The 15,718-nt window shown below is 53.6% G+C and overlaps 1 protein-coding gene across 1 annotated transcript in view, besides 7 other annotated features; it reads right to left on the bottom strand.

The window, feature by feature from the left end:
* Positions 1-925, bottom strand: part of SH3BP2 (SH3 domain binding protein 2) — a 48,012-nt gene extending 47,087 nt beyond the window's left edge. The window contains exon 1 of the mRNA NM_001122681.2: positions 872-925. The gene's annotated coding sequence lies outside the window, so the exon portion shown is untranslated. The remainder of the gene's footprint in view (positions 1-871) is intronic.
* Positions 858-1,207: a silencer, noted in NCBI's record as "silent region_15182". NCBI's record gives its function as "represses an Ori minimal core promoter by ATAC-STARR-seq in GM12878 lymphoblastoid cells {active_cell/tissue: GM12878}" and the evidence as "EXISTENCE:reporter gene assay evidence [ECO:0000049][PMID:35858748]".
* Positions 5,494-6,128: an enhancer, noted in NCBI's record as "H3K27ac-H3K4me1 hESC enhancer chr4:2789609-2790243 (GRCh37/hg19 assembly coordinates)". NCBI's record gives its function as "activates a minimal SCP1, AML or CMV promoter by ChIP-STARR-seq in naive H9 embryonic stem cells {active_cell/tissue: H9 hESC(naive)}" and the evidence as "EXISTENCE:reporter gene assay evidence [ECO:0000049][PMID:30033119]".
* Positions 5,852-5,911: an enhancer, noted in NCBI's record as "active region_21187". NCBI's record gives its function as "activates an Ori minimal core promoter by ATAC-STARR-seq in GM12878 lymphoblastoid cells {active_cell/tissue: GM12878}" and the evidence as "EXISTENCE:reporter gene assay evidence [ECO:0000049][PMID:35858748]".
* Positions 6,252-6,561: an enhancer, noted in NCBI's record as "active region_21186". NCBI's record gives its function as "activates an Ori minimal core promoter by ATAC-STARR-seq in GM12878 lymphoblastoid cells {active_cell/tissue: GM12878}" and the evidence as "EXISTENCE:reporter gene assay evidence [ECO:0000049][PMID:35858748]".
* Positions 6,764-7,398: an enhancer, noted in NCBI's record as "H3K4me1 hESC enhancer chr4:2788339-2788973 (GRCh37/hg19 assembly coordinates)". NCBI's record gives its function as "activates a minimal SCP1, AML or CMV promoter by ChIP-STARR-seq in naive H9 embryonic stem cells {active_cell/tissue: H9 hESC(naive)}" and the evidence as "EXISTENCE:reporter gene assay evidence [ECO:0000049][PMID:30033119]".
* Positions 7,532-7,741: an enhancer, noted in NCBI's record as "active region_21185". NCBI's record gives its function as "activates an Ori minimal core promoter by ATAC-STARR-seq in GM12878 lymphoblastoid cells {active_cell/tissue: GM12878}" and the evidence as "EXISTENCE:reporter gene assay evidence [ECO:0000049][PMID:35858748]".
* Positions 8,102-8,151: an enhancer, noted in NCBI's record as "active region_21184". NCBI's record gives its function as "activates an Ori minimal core promoter by ATAC-STARR-seq in GM12878 lymphoblastoid cells {active_cell/tissue: GM12878}" and the evidence as "EXISTENCE:reporter gene assay evidence [ECO:0000049][PMID:35858748]".

Below are 15,718 nucleotides of genomic sequence, written 5' to 3'. Positions count from 1 at the left end.
GAGGCACAGAGAGGGGATAGGAGGTGCTCACGGAAAGGAGCACCAGCAGAAGGCTCCCCACAGCAGGGCTCAGGCCCTCAATACCCCCAGGGAGCCGAGGCCCAGAGCAGCGGGAAAGTGCTGGGCTGCAGGGAGGCCAGCGTACAGGTGGAAGGGGCTGTCCCCGCCCCCTAACTCCTCCAGTCCCTCTGCCACCCCTGAGATTCCCTGTTGCCCATGAGAGTCTCAGACGCCCGGCTATCAGTCACTCACACTTCAGTGTGAATCAGCGCCAGTGGGCGGCTTTTCTTGCCCTCCGTGAAGCGCGGCCGCTGCAGAGGGAAGTTTGGATTCCGGGAAGGGCGGAGAGCGAGTGCCCGCCGCAGCCTTTGAGTCTTGTGGGGAGGGTCGCGTAAAGGGGCCCCGCCGCGGGGCCAGAGGGGCGCGAGGGGTGCGAAACAGACGCGTCGCACCGCCTCCCACCCCTGAGCCCCCGGCAAGGGACACCCGGCCCCCGCCCCGAAGCCGCGCTCCCTCGGGCACTGCCCGCCGTGCCCAGGCCCCGTGCGTCCTTTGGCAAGGACACGGAGGCCCCGGGGCCCGGGGGAGGCTGCTGCGCACCCGAGACCCCCGACACCCGCCCATACCTGCCGGGACCCTGAGACTCCCCCGAGACCTGCCAAGACCTGCCGGGACCCCTGAGACTCCCCGGAGACTCCCCCGAGACCCCCGAGACCCGCCGAGACCTGTCGGGACCCCGAGACTCCCCCGAGACCCCCGAGACCCGCCGAGAGCCCCCAGACCGCCAAGGCCCGCCGAGCCCCTTCCAGACGCGGAGACCGCCCCCCCGCGAGACCCCCGAGACCCGCCGAGACCCGCCGCCGAGGCTTACCCGCCGAGCGCTCTCCTGGCCCGCGGGCCCTGGGTCGAGGCGGCGGCTTGACTCGGCCGCCAGGCGCTCCCGCCCGCGGGACCCGCCGCCGCCGCAGCTCCGTCCCGCCCGCGCCCGCCCAGTCCGCCCTCCTCCTGGCCCCGCCCCGGCCCCGCCCCTCCCCGGCGGGTCCCGCAATCCTGGAGGTCCGAGCTGGGCGTGGGGCGGGGCCGGTACCTCAGGGTGGGCGGGGAACTGCACGTGGCCTCCGCGGCCCCGGGACGAGGCCCCTGGGGGGCGAAGACTGGCGTTGTCGCGGGCCTAGACGCCGGGTCCACAGTAGGTGCTTAGTTCTCGCCCGTGAGTGAGGTAGCGTGTCTGTCCCTCCTGCGTGTCCCTCCCAGTGACACCCCAGTGCCCAGCGACCCAGGTGGAAAGGGCGCTGTCCACCCCCCCAGCCCCGTGGTCCTGATCCTGGGCGGCCCCACCCCTGCCCCGTGAGTGCGACTTAGGCCCTGGCCAAGACAGGAGCAGGGGAGGTGGGGGAGGGCTTGCTGGGCACCAGGAAACCTTGTCTTTGTTTCCAAATGTCCTCCAGGGTACTTTTCAGGCACTTCCCAGGGGGACCTCGCCTCTTGGACCAGGTCTGGACTCCGGTGGCCCAGAGGTCGTCTTGGGGCTGGGAGGCACAGGAGACCGGGTGCTTTACACTTGGCCTCCTCTGAGGCTCCCTTTCCTCCACCATCACCCTCTCCCTAAGAGTAGGCCCAGATGCCTTGGTGTAAGGGCAGGGGCGAGAAGAGGAGGGGCTTCCTGGGAGGAAATGGCTTCCCTGGGGAGCTCTCAGGGCCAGGTAGGTGGAGGGAGCCGTGGAGAAAGTGAAGAGGCTGGGGAGACCAAGCTGGGCCTGCAGAGCTTGAGGGCGAGCGGACCCCCCACCAGTGCGGGAGTCAACTGCTTGGGGCGTGGGGGGACTCCTCCCCATGAGGAGTGGGGACTGGACCCCAGGTCCCAGAGCCCAGGAAGCTGTGAGTAGAGGAAGGACAGGATCTTGCTGGGAACCCAAGGGAGCTGGGGGTGGGTGGTGGTGACCTGGCCCTGTCCAGGCAGGCGGCCAAGGTCTGACCCTCTGTACTGAGCACAAGAGGCCAGAGTCCAATGACAGGGGCTGAATTGGCTGCTCCAAATCAGGCAGGGGCAGGGGTGTCCAGGGCTGGCCCTGCAGCAGGTGAAGGACTGGGTTTGGGTCCTACAGGTTGAAATACCTGAGGGCCTCCAGGAGACACAGCCAAACCAAGCGGGTTCTCAGGGTTGCAGCTGGACCGAGTGTGGGCCAAGTCACCGTCCACCTGTCCCAGAGCTGCCCAATAATGGGTCCCAAGCCTCAGAAAGGGGATCCCTGGCTGCAATAGCCCTCCTCCCTGCTGGAGAGACACACTTGGGATCAGAGAGGTTAACTGGGGAGGGGAGTAAGTGGGAGGAGTCAGAAAACTAGGTGGCCAGGCCCTGAGCCCAGGCATAGAGGAAGAGCCAGTGCCTACCAGGAAGTGACCAGGACCAAGGCAGGGCCTCTGGAAGGGAAGGGACAAAGCAGGGGATGGCAGAGGCAGGGGAGGATATGGGAGAGTCTTCAGACAACAGGGCCCCTTTTCCCCATCTGTGAAATGGAGGGGGTCCTCTACTGGGGAGGCGGCAGAAGTGGATGGGGCATGACAGCAGGCAGATACTCACTCTACCTGGCCCAGGGCCACCCCTCACACCGGCGCTGGGGCTGTGACTCTACCCACCTACAGCCTAGCTCTCGGGGCTGAACTTAGACCCCAGTGAGGGAGTAGATGGGTGCTGGCTGGCTGGGGTGCTCACTCTCTGGGGTGCCTGCTCACATCCCCACCTGTAAGTGTCCTGGGCCTGGCTCCCCAGGTCTCAACTCTGCTCATCCCAGCATTGGGTAGCCTGCAACTCTTCTGCCCACCCCCCACTCTGGGCTATTTCACATTTTCCTAGCAGGGAGGAAGAGATAGGAACTACAGCCATTGTGGAAGTGGCTGGGCTCAGCCCCATCCGACGTTCAGTGCTGCCACTGTTAGCACCGCATGGGGCTGCGTCACTCCTGTAAGAGGCCACATGCGGAGGGAGCTCCAGGCTGGGCCAGACTGGTCTAAGGCTCCTGACAAAACACTCATGACCTTGGGGCTGTACATCTTGATGTCCCTGATGTCCAGTTCAGCTAAATAAATGCCTGGCCCCACACCAGACCCCGGGGACCCAAGATGATACAAGGAAGTCCCTACCCTTGTGGCTCACGAGAGGAGCAAATGGACAAATGAGCAGATGCCATTGGGTCACAGCAAGTGTCCTGTTCCCAGGGGACCAGCTGGGGAAAGGGGCAGAGACCGGGAGGGGAGTGGAGCAAAGCCAAACGTCGGTGCGGCCCCGCCAGGGCCTGACTACAGGGCAGGGTGTACAGGGCTGGCCTCAGATGCCAAGCTCAGAGTTGACGGAGCAGGGTCACTGCAGACAGTGTGGACGGACCAGGCGCCTAGAGAATGATCACCCAGAAATGCAAAGCACCTCTGTGCAGGGCACCTCAGCCAAACAGGGGGAACAGGGTGCAGCCTCCACCGTGGGGAGAATCCCACACCTCATATTCCTCCCCTTCTCCCCCCTTACCAGTCCAACCCCAGGGCGTGGGAGGAAGGAACTCCTAGTTGGGGCCTCAGGGCAGCTCCCAGCAGCCCCTCCGAGCAAGAAGCTGCTGGAGGCTGTGGCCAGAGCCTCTGGGCACCCAGGGGTTCCGCTGAGGCTGACAGAGCAGGGATGGGTGAGGAGGATGACCTCGCCTGCTGGGAGGGTATGCAGGGCAGGTGAGCAGAGGTAAGGCGAGGACCCCTGGCCGGCAGGGAGCTGGGGAGCAGACCTCCACAGGGCACATCCGGGGTAGAAGCCCATGGTGATGCCCCAATCACACCCACAGAATAAGGCCAAAGAGAAGGGGGCCGGTCCCCCGCCACACCCATCCCCCGTGTGCCATCGGCCATGCCACTGATTTGGCAGGACCCAGAACAGGCAGAGGCAGCTGCTGTCTGGGGGGTAGGGCAGGACCTGCTGAGGGTGAGGCTGACGGTTAGGATGGCGAGGGCAAGATCTGCCGCTGGTCTACGTGTCACAGGCGTCCCAGCAGGGGGCTTCATGCGCCTGCCAAGTCTCTTTTTCCTTCCCTGGGCCAGCAACCCTGGAGTCGTCCGCACTGATGCCTCTCTGCTCGCCCCACATCCCGTCCGCCCTGAAGGTTCTGTTGGCAAAGCACACCTGGAATCCTGCCTTTCTCAGCCCCTGCCTGCCTCATCCTCCCTCTCCTGCGCTTGCCTGGCAGTGTCCATCATCACACCAGAGGGGTGCAGTCACAGTGTGAGTCAGGTCATGTCACTTCTTCACTCAGAACTTTCTGTAGATCCCACCTCCCCCAAGGCAAATGCCTTCTATCCTTGCATGGGCAGGGCCCAGACCGAGCCTGTGCCACCTGCCTGCTCCCTGAGTTCTCTCTCCATAGCCCCGCTTAGCATTGGCCACACTGGCCTCCTGTCTCCTCCAGCACCGCAGACACATTCCCACCTCAGGGCCTTTGCACTTGCCATTCCTGCCCCTAGATCACCCTTGGCGGGTGTGCCTGGACCCCTCGCTTCCCTTGGTCTGGGCTCTGCTTCCAGGGCACCTGAGTTACAAAATAGACTCCCAGTGCATGATTGGTGAATGAACAGACAAAGGCCTCAAGGGGCAGCCCCAAGGAAGGGGCTAGGTAGGTTTTGTTTTTGTTCTTTTGTTTTGAGATAGGGTCTCACTCTGTTGCCCAGGCTGGAGTGCAGTGGCACTGCAGCCTCAACCTCCTGGGCTCAGGTGAGCCTCCCACCTCAGCTGGGACTATAGGCATGTGCCACCACACCCAACTAATTTTTATTTATTTATATTTTTTATTTTTTTGTAGAAATAGCGTCTCACCATGTTGCCCAGACTGGTCTCGAACTACTGGGCTCAAACGATCCACCCACCTCAGCTCCCAAAGTGCTGGGATTACTGGCATGAGCCACTGTGCCCATCCTAGCCAGGTTTTGGAGCTGCCACCTGGGTCCCGTGTCCAGAGGACCTTGGAAGCATGGACCCTGCCCTCCCACCTGTCCCTGTCCCCAGGAGTGGCCCCACAGTGATACAGTGTACCACCTCACCAGGCCGCCTCGCTAGGAGAGGCAATTCCTGAGTAGGGCCAAGGCCACAGGCTTCCCACCTGCTTCCCTGGGGATAGGAGGGGACAGGTTCCCACCCTACCTCCCCCAATCCCCACTCCCTGGGGGAGGCTGTGTGGAGTCATCCTGCCACACAGTCCAGTCCCCTGGCCACACAGCCCAGCACTGGAGGGAGGGGCAGAGGGGGTGTGGGGGAGGATTGTGGCTCATGGGAAGAGGAGTTTGAGGAGGCAGGCTGGGCCTCACACGCAGGCATCAGTCTGGCTCTGAGGACAGGGCTGGGGGCTGGCATCTCTCCCAGGAGGCTGGGCTGGTGGCAGGCACTCTGGCAGGGAGGGCAGGCTGGACAGGAGTGGCCCCTCCCAGGCTCTGGGCCATCTCTGCATCCCAGGCCAGGCCTGGCTGCCTCACGCCTTGCCCTGGGTGGGATGGGGAATATTTTCTCCTTTACCGAATGAAGGGGAAAGGAGCAGCCTGGGGCTGGAGGGGGAGCAGTGGAGGTTGGGTGGGATGGTAGGACGTGTGTGCTGGTTGAGGGGTGGAAGCATGGAGGCCCGCTCAGGTCTCAGCCAGACCCCACGCCAGAGTGCCCTGCACACTGGCCTCCCCTCTGCCTCCACTGCCCTCCAGCGTCATCCCGGGAAAGCCAGCTCAGTAGCATTACCCCAGGGGACCTCCCCAGACCCCCACAGTCATGCCCAGATGTGCACCTACATCCCACCACACTGCCCAGAACTAGCCTTCCTCACCACCCCATCCCACCCCCTAGGCTGGGGCGCCTTGAGGTCAGGGCTCTTCCAGTGGCTCTGGTCCCCAGGATGGTCCAACACGGGGCCCTGCTCAGAAAACATCCTCAGTGGGTGGCCCCAGCCTGTGGGCTTCTGGCCAGCTGCCCTCAGTGAGCCTGTGGAGGGTGGGGCCCACAGCCAGCTTGCCCACTGCCCCTCGTGCCTGGGACAGGCCTGGCTTCCTGGCCAGCCTGAGAGCTGGTAAAGGCTGACGAAGTCGGCGAAGGCTCTTTGGGGACAGTAGGACTGAGCTGGGCTCCCACAACCTGGGAGGACTCTCCTGGCAGGGGCACAGCGCTAGAGGGCAGAGTGAGGGAAATAGAGCCAGAGTTCACGCCAGGTCAAGGGCCAGCCAGCGCCCCCAGGCCACCAGCACTCCCCAGGAGGGCCTGCCCTGCCTGCCTGGCTGCCACACCTCTAGCCCAGGTCAGCTGCTGGCTCTGTCCTCTGAGGTTTGCTTGAGTCAATTTTCTACATAAAACGAGAGTGTCAGGCAGGTCCCATTAGGAAGCTCTATTTTGTAATACCAGGCCTGTGGGTGGAGGACCCAGGACCCACGCACGCACTGGCTTTTCTATTTTTACATCCAGAGTCGCCTGCTCTCACCCCCAGAGCCCAATTTGGAACTTGAAAGCAGCACATTCTATTCTGGGGCCACTTCCGGCCCCTGTGCCGTGGGAGGTGGGTGTTTGTACACAACAGCGTGCCCCACCCGCCTCCCTCCAAAACACCCCCTCTCCTGTCACCCCCCACCCCCACCACCACCCCCTGCCAGCCACGTGACCTTCAGGAACACACTGAGATCTGGAAGGGGAAGCCCATGTGGGGCTTGGGAAGGGGAAGCTGTGGCCTTCAACAGTGGTGAGGTTCCCACGTCACCCCAAGGGGTCCCCACCTATCACCCCAGCCCAGGGTCAGGAGAGGCAGCCAGCCCTTCCCCAGCCAGCGCTGGACACTGAGACATGAGGGTGCAAGGTGACCTGCGTGACAGCAAAGCCCCTCACGACCAGAGCAGGAAGGAACAAGAGAACAGATGAGCCTGGGAGGCCTCCTGGGAGAGGGGACCCCAGGAGACACTTGAGGGCTGCTCCCACCTCGACTCCCCAGGCCTCTCCCATGGCCGTGGCAGGACTGGGCTGCCTTGGCAGGAGTGAATGAGGGACTCGCCCCACTGGGACCCAGAACTCCCCGTCCCACCTGGCCTCAAGTGGGTTCTGAAGGGGTCTCACCAGGCCTTCAGCCGCCTGCCCAGCCGAGGACCCAGAGGACCACTCCCTCCCCCTTCCACTTCTCCATCCTTGGGAGTGGACCTTGGCCTTAATTCCACACTTGTGGGTCCCCTAAACCATGCTGGCAGCCCTAAAGGCCCCTGCTACGGCCCTGAGAACACCCCTCCCCAAAGTGCCACCCTCTCCCCGATGACATGGGCTCTTATGTGCGAACCCCCAACACTGTGATGCCCTACAGTGCCACCTCTCCACTCAGGGGCACCCCTGATGTGCCCAGCCCAGGGTCAGGAGTGGCCAGCTGCCCTCAGTGAGCCTGTGGAGGGTGGGGTTCTATCGGCGGTGATACTGGGGCCCACCAAGTAGCTCAGAATGGCTCTGGCCCAGTAGCCCTGTCTCTGAGCCCCCAGCCTGCACTGCCCCTCCTCCCGGCCTCTGACAGGGGGTGAAGCTGGAAAGATGAGCTGCCCCACCCAGCCCAGAGCTGGCGGGAACAGCAGAAGACTCAGGACCCCAAGGGTGGGGACTTTCCCATCACACTGAAGAGGCGGCAGGGGAGTGGGGGGGTAGGTGCTGACGCAGAGCTGAACAAGGTCTGGCCTGTGATGGTGTGAGGCCCAGTCAGGGATGTGCACACCCTCAGCCCTCCTGGAGTACCTGCTGTGCCAGGTACAGTACCAGGTGCTTTTCACATCCTTACACCTTCTCGTCCCTGAAGCTACTTAGCAGCCTGGCCAACATGGTGAAACCCAGTCTCCACTAAAAACACACAAATTAGCCAGGTGTGGTAGCACATGCCTGTAATCCCAGCTACTTGGGAGGCTGAGGCAGGAGAGTCACTTGAACCCGGGAGGTAGAGGTTGCAGTGAGCCGAGATGGTGCCACTGCACTCCAGCCTGGGCAAGAGCGAGATTCTGTCTCAAAAAAAAAAAAAAAAAAGAAAAAGAAAAGAAAAATAGAAAAGAAACACTTTAGATGAATTCAATTTAGCAGAGTTTATTTGAGCAATGAAATGATTCCTAAATCAGGCAGCACCCCGAACCAGTAGAGGCTCAGAGAGCTCCATCCAGCAACTTGGGCAGGCAGTATTTATGGACAGAAAAAGGAAGTGACACAGAAATCGTCTGATTGGCTACAACTGGGTGCTTGCCTTCTTTGAACCTGCCTGAGTAGTTTGCAGCCTGTGACTGGCTGAAAGCTCAGCTGCTCTGATGGGCCGAGACTCAGTGACTTCTTCCAAAGAGTCCTGTGACTATAGCAAACCCTAACCTGACTTAATCTGTAAACAAACTGCAGCTTGAGTATACTCCCAGGCTGCAGTTTATTTACAGATTAAGGCAGGTTAGGGTTTGCCATATGCTGAGGCAGCTTTAGGCCAAATTTAAGTTAATTTAACCTTTGCCTCTTTTAGGCAGCCTCTCAATTTTGAGAGATTGACTGAAACCTTGGGCACTGGCGTCACTTTCTGTCACCATCATAATGGATTTGTTTGGTCTCAGTGTGAAATTCATATTCACCGTGTCAAGTTAGTTGGATGATGATGTTTTCTTCATGTTTTGTTCCTCTAACTGTGATGAGACCATTTGATGTACTAAGGATGGCTGCATACAAGCATTTAAGACACTTGAGGGGACAGCGTATCAGAGAGACTGTTCTGACGGCTTTTGGGAGGATGATACAAGAAACTGAAGCACACTCCTTAACAGGAGGCTCGGTGAACCAAACGGATCAAAACCGAACAATTCAAAGTTCAGGCAATGAAGACTGTTCTACAGCATTCAAGTCCCGTTGGTCAGTCTTTCTTTGGAACATGATGGTGATTTAGAACTACAGTTGGACGGGCGTGGTGGCTTACGCCTGTAATCCCAGCACTTTGGGAGGCCGAGGCGGGTGGATCACCAGAGGTCAGGAGTTCAAGACCAGCCTGGCCAACATGGTGAAATGCCATGTCTACTAAAAATACAAAAGTAGCCTGGCATGGTGGCACATGTCTGTAATCCCAGCTACTCGGGAGGCTGAGGCAGAAGAATCGCTGGAACCCAGGAGTGGAGGTTGCAGTGAGCCAAGATTTTGCCACTGCACTCCAGCCTGGCAACAGAGAGAGACTCCGTCTCAGGAGAAAAAAAAAAAAAAAAAAAGAACCACAATTGTGGGGAGATGGCGGATAGGAGGCAGGACTAACTTGCAGCTCTCGCTTGGATGGACAGAGAAGCATGTGGAGACCCACATCATGAACTTTTGCTCCAAGAACTACTGCAGGAATATACCAGGAAAGCTGAGAGAATCCACAGACTCCTTTGAAGGAGGTGGATTGCCGCTGCAGGCTCCATGGGACAGCTGAGGAACTCTGAAGACAAAGGACATAGTTTCTTGGGAGCTCTGTGGCCCTATCCACCACCTGATCCTACCACTGCTGATGGGCTCTTGAAAGTACCACCTCCCGGCTGGAGGCCAACCAACACAAAAGCAGTGCACCTAACAAAAATACAACCAAGGACCCTCACCAAGTCCACTTCACTCCCCTGCTACCTCCACTGGAGCAGGTACTGGTATCCGCAGCTGAGAGACCTGAAGACAGATCACATCCCAGGACTCCTTGAAGACACTCCCCAGTACCAGTCCAGAGTCTGGTAGCTCTACTGGGTGGCTAGATCCAGAAGATAAAGAACAATCACTACAGTTTGGCTATCAGAACGCCCTATCCCTGGGGGAAAGGGGAGAGCACCACATCCAGGGAGCACCCCTGTGGGACAAAAGAATCTCAACAGCAGCCCTTGAGTCCCAGATCTTCCCTCTGACATAGTCTACCCAAATGAGAAAGAACCAGGAAAACAATTCTGGTAATATGACGAAACAAGGTTCTTTAACATCTGCAAAAGATTACACTAGCTCACCAGCAATGGATCCAAACCAAGACGAAATCTCTGAATTGCCAGAAAAAGAATTCAGAAGGTCGACTCTTAAGCTAATCAAGGAGGCACCAGAGAAAGGGGAAATCCAACTTAAAGAAATCGAAAACATGATACAGGGTATGAATGGAAAAATCTCCAGTGAAATAGATAACATGAATTAAAAAAATACTATCACAACTTCTGGAAATGAAGGGCACACTTAGAGAATTGCAAAATGCACTGGAAAGTCTCAGCAATAGAATCAAACAAGCAGAAGAAAAAACTTCACAGCTTGAAGACAAGGCTTTTGAATTAACCCAATCCAACAAAGACAAAAACAAAGAATTTTTAAAAAAGAACAAAGCCTCCAAGAAGTTTGGGATTATGTTAAATGACCAAACCTAAGAATAATTAGTGTTCCTGAGAAGAAGAGAAATCTAAAAGTTTTGAAAACATATTTGAGGGAATAATTGAGTAAAACTCCCCTGGCCTTGCTAGAGACCTAGACATCCAAATACAAGAAGCTCAAAGAACACCTGAGAAATTCATTGCAAAAAGATCATCACCTAAACATACAGTCATCAGGTTATCTAAAGTCAAGACGAAGGGAAGAGTCTTAAGAGCTGTGAGGCAAAAGCACCAGGTAATCTATAAAGGAAAACCTATCAGATAAACAGCAGATTTCTCAGCAGAAACCCTACAAGCTAGAAGGGATTGGGGTCCTATCTTTAGCCTCTTTAAACAAAAGAATTATCAGCCAAGAATTTTGTATCCAGTGTCATAAATGAAGGAAAGATACTTTTTAAGACAAAAAAGACAAAGATGTCTTTTTCAGACAAACAAATGCTGAGAGAATTCACCACTACAAAGCCAGCACTACACAATTGCTAAAAGGAGCTCTAAATCTTGAAACAAATCCTCAAATCACACCAAAATACAATTTCCTTAAAGCATAAATCTCACAGGACCTATAAAACAACAACACAATGAAAAAAAACCCAAGGTATTCAGGCAACAAATAGCATGATGAATAGAACAGTACTTCATATCTCAATACTGACATTGAATGTAAATGGCCTCAATGCTCCACCTAAAAGATACAGAATGGCAGAATGGATATGAATTCACCAAACAAGAATCTGCTGTCTTCAAGAGACTCATCTGACACATAAAGACTCACATAAACTTAAGGTAAAGGGGTGGAAAAAGATATTCCATGCAAAGGGATACCAAAAGCAAGCAGGAGTAGCTATTCTTAGACAAAACAAACTTTAAAGCAACAACAGTTAAAAAAAGACAAAGAGGGTCATTATATAATGCTAAAAGGACTAGTCCAACAGGATCACAATTGTAAATATATATGCCCCTAACACTGGAGCTCCCAAATTTATAAAAAACTTTATAAAATAGTTACTACTAGACCTAAGAAATGAGATAGAGGGCAACACAGGAACAGTGGGGGACTTCAGTACTCCACTGACAACACTAAACAGGTTATCAAGACAGAAAGTCAACAAAGAAACAATAGACTTAAAGTATACCATAAAACAAATATACTTAACAGATATTCACAGAACATTCTACCCAACAACTGCAGAATGTACATTCTATGAAAAGAAAATAAATCTTGGGGCCCCCAAATCACTAAGCTAAAGGGAAAAGTTGAGCTGGGAACTGGTTAGGGCCAATCTGCCTCCTGTTAAATTCAAAGTCACCCCTCTGCTCACTGACATAAGTGCATCTCTGATTGCCTCCTTTGGAGAGGCTCATCAGACACTCAAAAGAATGCGATCACTTGTCTCCTATCTACCTATGTATGACCTGGAAGCCCCTCCCCGCTTCGAGTCTCCCCGGGTTTGCTTCCAGTTGTCCCGCCTTTCCAGATGGAACCAATGTTCATCTTGTATATGTTGATTGATGTCTCATGTCTCCCTAGAATGCATAAAACCAAACTGTGCTCCAACCACCTTGGGCACATGTCATGAAGACCTCCCGAGGCTGTGTCACGGGCATGCATCCTCAACCTTGGCAAAATAAACGTTCGAAATTAACTGACACCTGTCTCAGGTTTTCAGCGTTCACATTTTGGTAACCATGGGGGGATTCTGAGTGGAGATGCCTCTGACTTTTGACAAATCTCCTATTGGTGCTTGGTACTGGAAGGAGCTAACTTTATGGCTCAAACCAATAGGACAATTTGCTGAAGTCCGAGAGCACCCCCTCCAGAGAATCCCTCATCTCCCCAAATTTGGTCAAGATTTAGAGGTTATTTTGCTGTATGACTCCTCTTTTTTTGGAGTTTTACTTGCTTCCAACAGGGAAGGCAAGATTTCCTGTTTCCATGATGATGGAAGGCAGGTAACTCCCTTATGGAGTTTGAGCTTGCTTCCAACAGGGAAGGTGAGTTTTTTCCTGCTTCTAGGATGGTAGAGAGAAATCTACAGCCTGAGACCCATCCCTGGGTAAGTAACTGAATTGGCATTTGTCTTGGCTAAAGTTAAGATTAACAACCAGCTGGTCTTAATTTCTCCTTATCATTAGAACACTCAGTAATCATATAAGCTGTGTGATCATTTGTTTTGTTTAACTGTTTTTTGTTGTTGTTGTTCTTTGTTTGTTTCTGTTTTTGTTGTTGTTTCAGTCTTTTTCCCATTGGGTTTGACCAACTGTATCTGACTTGATCCAATCCAAAGGAAAGTTCCAAATTATGGGGAACAAGGCCTCTAAAGTGGCTAAATTACCACACACACACACACACACACACACACACACACACACACGTGGTGTGCTGGGGGGAGAAAAATGGCCAGAAAAAAAGGGGGAAAAAAAAGAAGGGAAGTTTTTTTTCGTTTTTTGTTTTGAGACACATAATCTCAGTTCAGTGCAACTTCCGCCTACTAGGTTCAAGCGATTCTCCTGCCTCAGCTTCCCGAGTAGCTGGGATTACAGGCGTGCGCCACCACGCCCGGCTAATTTTTGTATTTTTAGTAGAGATGGGGTTTCACCATGTTGGCCAGGCTGGTCTTGAACTCCTGGCCTCAGGTGATCTGCCCGCCTCGGCCTCTCAAAGTGCTGGGATTACAAACGTGAGCCACTGCACCCGGCCAAAAAAGGAAACTTTTTTGATTTTGACTACTTAAGGGGTTTTATTTACATAACAAGGCTAGCTTGTTGCGAGCCATGCCAAACTGAAAGAGCAATGGCTGTCACCCCACCCTGCAGTTCTATACCTAAGGTCCTGCATTTTTTTTTTTTTCACCATGACAGCCTGGGTTTGGTTCCTAAACAAGCCCTTTCTGGTTTGATACTTGGTACTTCTGAAATAGCAGCACTTTGTCCTAGCTAAAATATGGTAATGAGATTTTAAAGGATTTTTTAAGGAGCTCAGTGGTTAAAAGTCAGCTTAAGTAAAAGGCTAACATCCAAGATATATGTGTGTATGTGTGCATATGTGCGGGTGTGTATGTGTGCGTGTTTGTATTTAAAAGGCCTTCATGTTTTTGTTTTTCTCTCCTAGGACCTTGTCTTTTTTATTTTATTATTATTATTTTTTTTCTTGAGACGGGATCTCGCTCTGTCACCCAGGCTGGAGTGCAGTGGTGCAATCTTGGCTCACTGCAAGCTCTGCCTCCCGGGTTCACGTCATTCTCCTGCCTCAGCCTCCCACGTAGCTGGGACTACAGGTGCCCGCCACCACACTCGGCTAATTTTTTGTATTTTTGGTAGAGACAGGGTTTCACTGTGTTAGCCAGGATGGTCTCGATCTCCCGACCTTATGATCTGCCTGCCTCGGCCTTCCAAAGTGCTGGGATTACAGGCGTGAGCCACCATGCCTGACCCTTTTATTTTATTTTTGAGCAAAATTTTTTTCACTTGATTTTTTTACTAAAATAGTTATTGCAACAGAGGCTACTCTTGGTTTTTGTTTTTGTTTTTGAGATGGAGTCTTGTTCTGTTGCCCAGGTTGGAGTGCAGTGGTGTGATTTTTGGCTCACTGCAACCTCCGCCTCCCAGGTTCAAGTGATTCTCTTGCCTCAGCCTCCCAAGCAGCTGGGACTACAGGCGTATGCCACCATGTTCGGCTGATTTTTGTATTTTTAGTAGAGACAGGGTTTCACCATGTTGGCCAGGCCAGTCTCAAACTCCTGACCTCAAGTGATCCACCCACCTCAGCCTCCCAAAGCACTGGGATTACAGGCATGAGCCACTGCTCTGGGCCTACTCTTGTGTTTTTAAGGAAGAGCGTAGTTTAGACACTTAGGAATTTAAGTGTTTAAAAACATTTGTTTTAAAAAATAGTTGTTTTTTAAGGCCAGGTGTGGTGGCTCACGCCTGTAATCTCAGCACTTTGGGAGGCCGAGGCAGGCGGATCATGAGGTCAGGGGTTCGAGACCAGCCTGGCCAACATGGTGAAACCCCGTCTCTACTAAAAATACAAAACTTAGCCAGCGTGGTGGCAGATGCCTGTAATCCCAGCTACTTGGGAGACTGAGGCATGAGAATTGCTTGAACCTCATTTAAAACAAAGGTTTTAAATTAAAGTTGTTACATTCCCGTATCTTTCTATATGTGCTTTAACAGTCCTTGTGACATTGAGTCACAGGGCTGTAACTCCTGGTGATGCAGGAGCTAAAAAGAAATTATTTAGGCAGATAGTAGGGACAACAGAATCCATAGTGAAATTTCCCTTTTAACAAAAAAGCAGCCCTCTTGGCTAGGCGTGGTGGCTCATGCCTGTAATCCCAGCACTTTGGGAGGCTGAGGTGGGTGGATCACCTGAGGTCAGGAGTTAGAGACCAGCCTGACCAACATGGTGAAACCCCATCTCTACTAAAAATGCAAAAATTAGCTGAGTATTGTGGCACACACCTGTAATCCCAGCTATTTGGGAGGCTGAGACAAGAGAATCGCTTGAACCTGGGAGGCAGAGGTTGCAGTGAGCCGAGACCTCACCACTGCATGCCAGTCTGAGCAACAAGAGAGAAACTCCATCTCAAAAAAAAAAAAAAAGAATAGAAAGAAAAGCAACCCCCAAATCATTTCTTTTCTAACAAAAAGCAGCCTGAAAAATCGAGCTGCAAACATAGATAAGCAAGCTGGCAGCTTGCACGGGTGAATGCCAGCAGCTGTGCCAATAGAAAAGGGCTACCTGGGAGCCAGGTATGTTCAACACGGAGGCTCCATCTTCCCTATTCTTTGTCACCACGTGTACTGTAAAGAAGCTGGCGACATGGTACCAGCCAGGTAGAAAACCCATCTGCATAATAAAAGATTAGAGTGGGGGTGGCCAGATTTTCATGCACTATGCAAATGCCACACCTGGTCCGACCAATCTTTTGTGCCCTATGGAAATCAAACACCGCTTCCTCAAGCCCATCTATAAAACCTCTTTCACTTCACAGTGGAGGTGGCAACTCATGTTCTCCGGGACCCCTCTCTCTGCAGAGGTCTTTTCTCTTTCTTTCGCCTATTAAATTTCTGCTCTTAACCTCACTCTGGTGTGCCAAGTCCTGGTTTTCCGTGGCCATGAGACAACGAATCTCGGGTATTTACCCCAGACAATGATGCTGGGTCTAAAAAAGACACCAGGTCCTGCCAAATCTTAAATACTGACAGTAAAGCCTCATCTTCAGGCCCGGTAGAAGTTGCCATTCAGAATAAACTGCATTCCTAAGACACAGGGCCAGAAATCAAAGCTACTCAACTCCTTAAGGCCCAGGGACTA

Source organism: Homo sapiens, chromosome 4, assembly GCF_000001405.40.
Source record: "Homo sapiens chromosome 4, GRCh38.p14 Primary Assembly".
Taxonomy (NCBI): domain Eukaryota; kingdom Metazoa; phylum Chordata; class Mammalia; order Primates; family Hominidae; genus Homo; species Homo sapiens.
The sequence above is the reverse complement of the archived record's forward strand: the minus strand, read 5'-3'. Positions and strand labels throughout refer to the sequence as shown.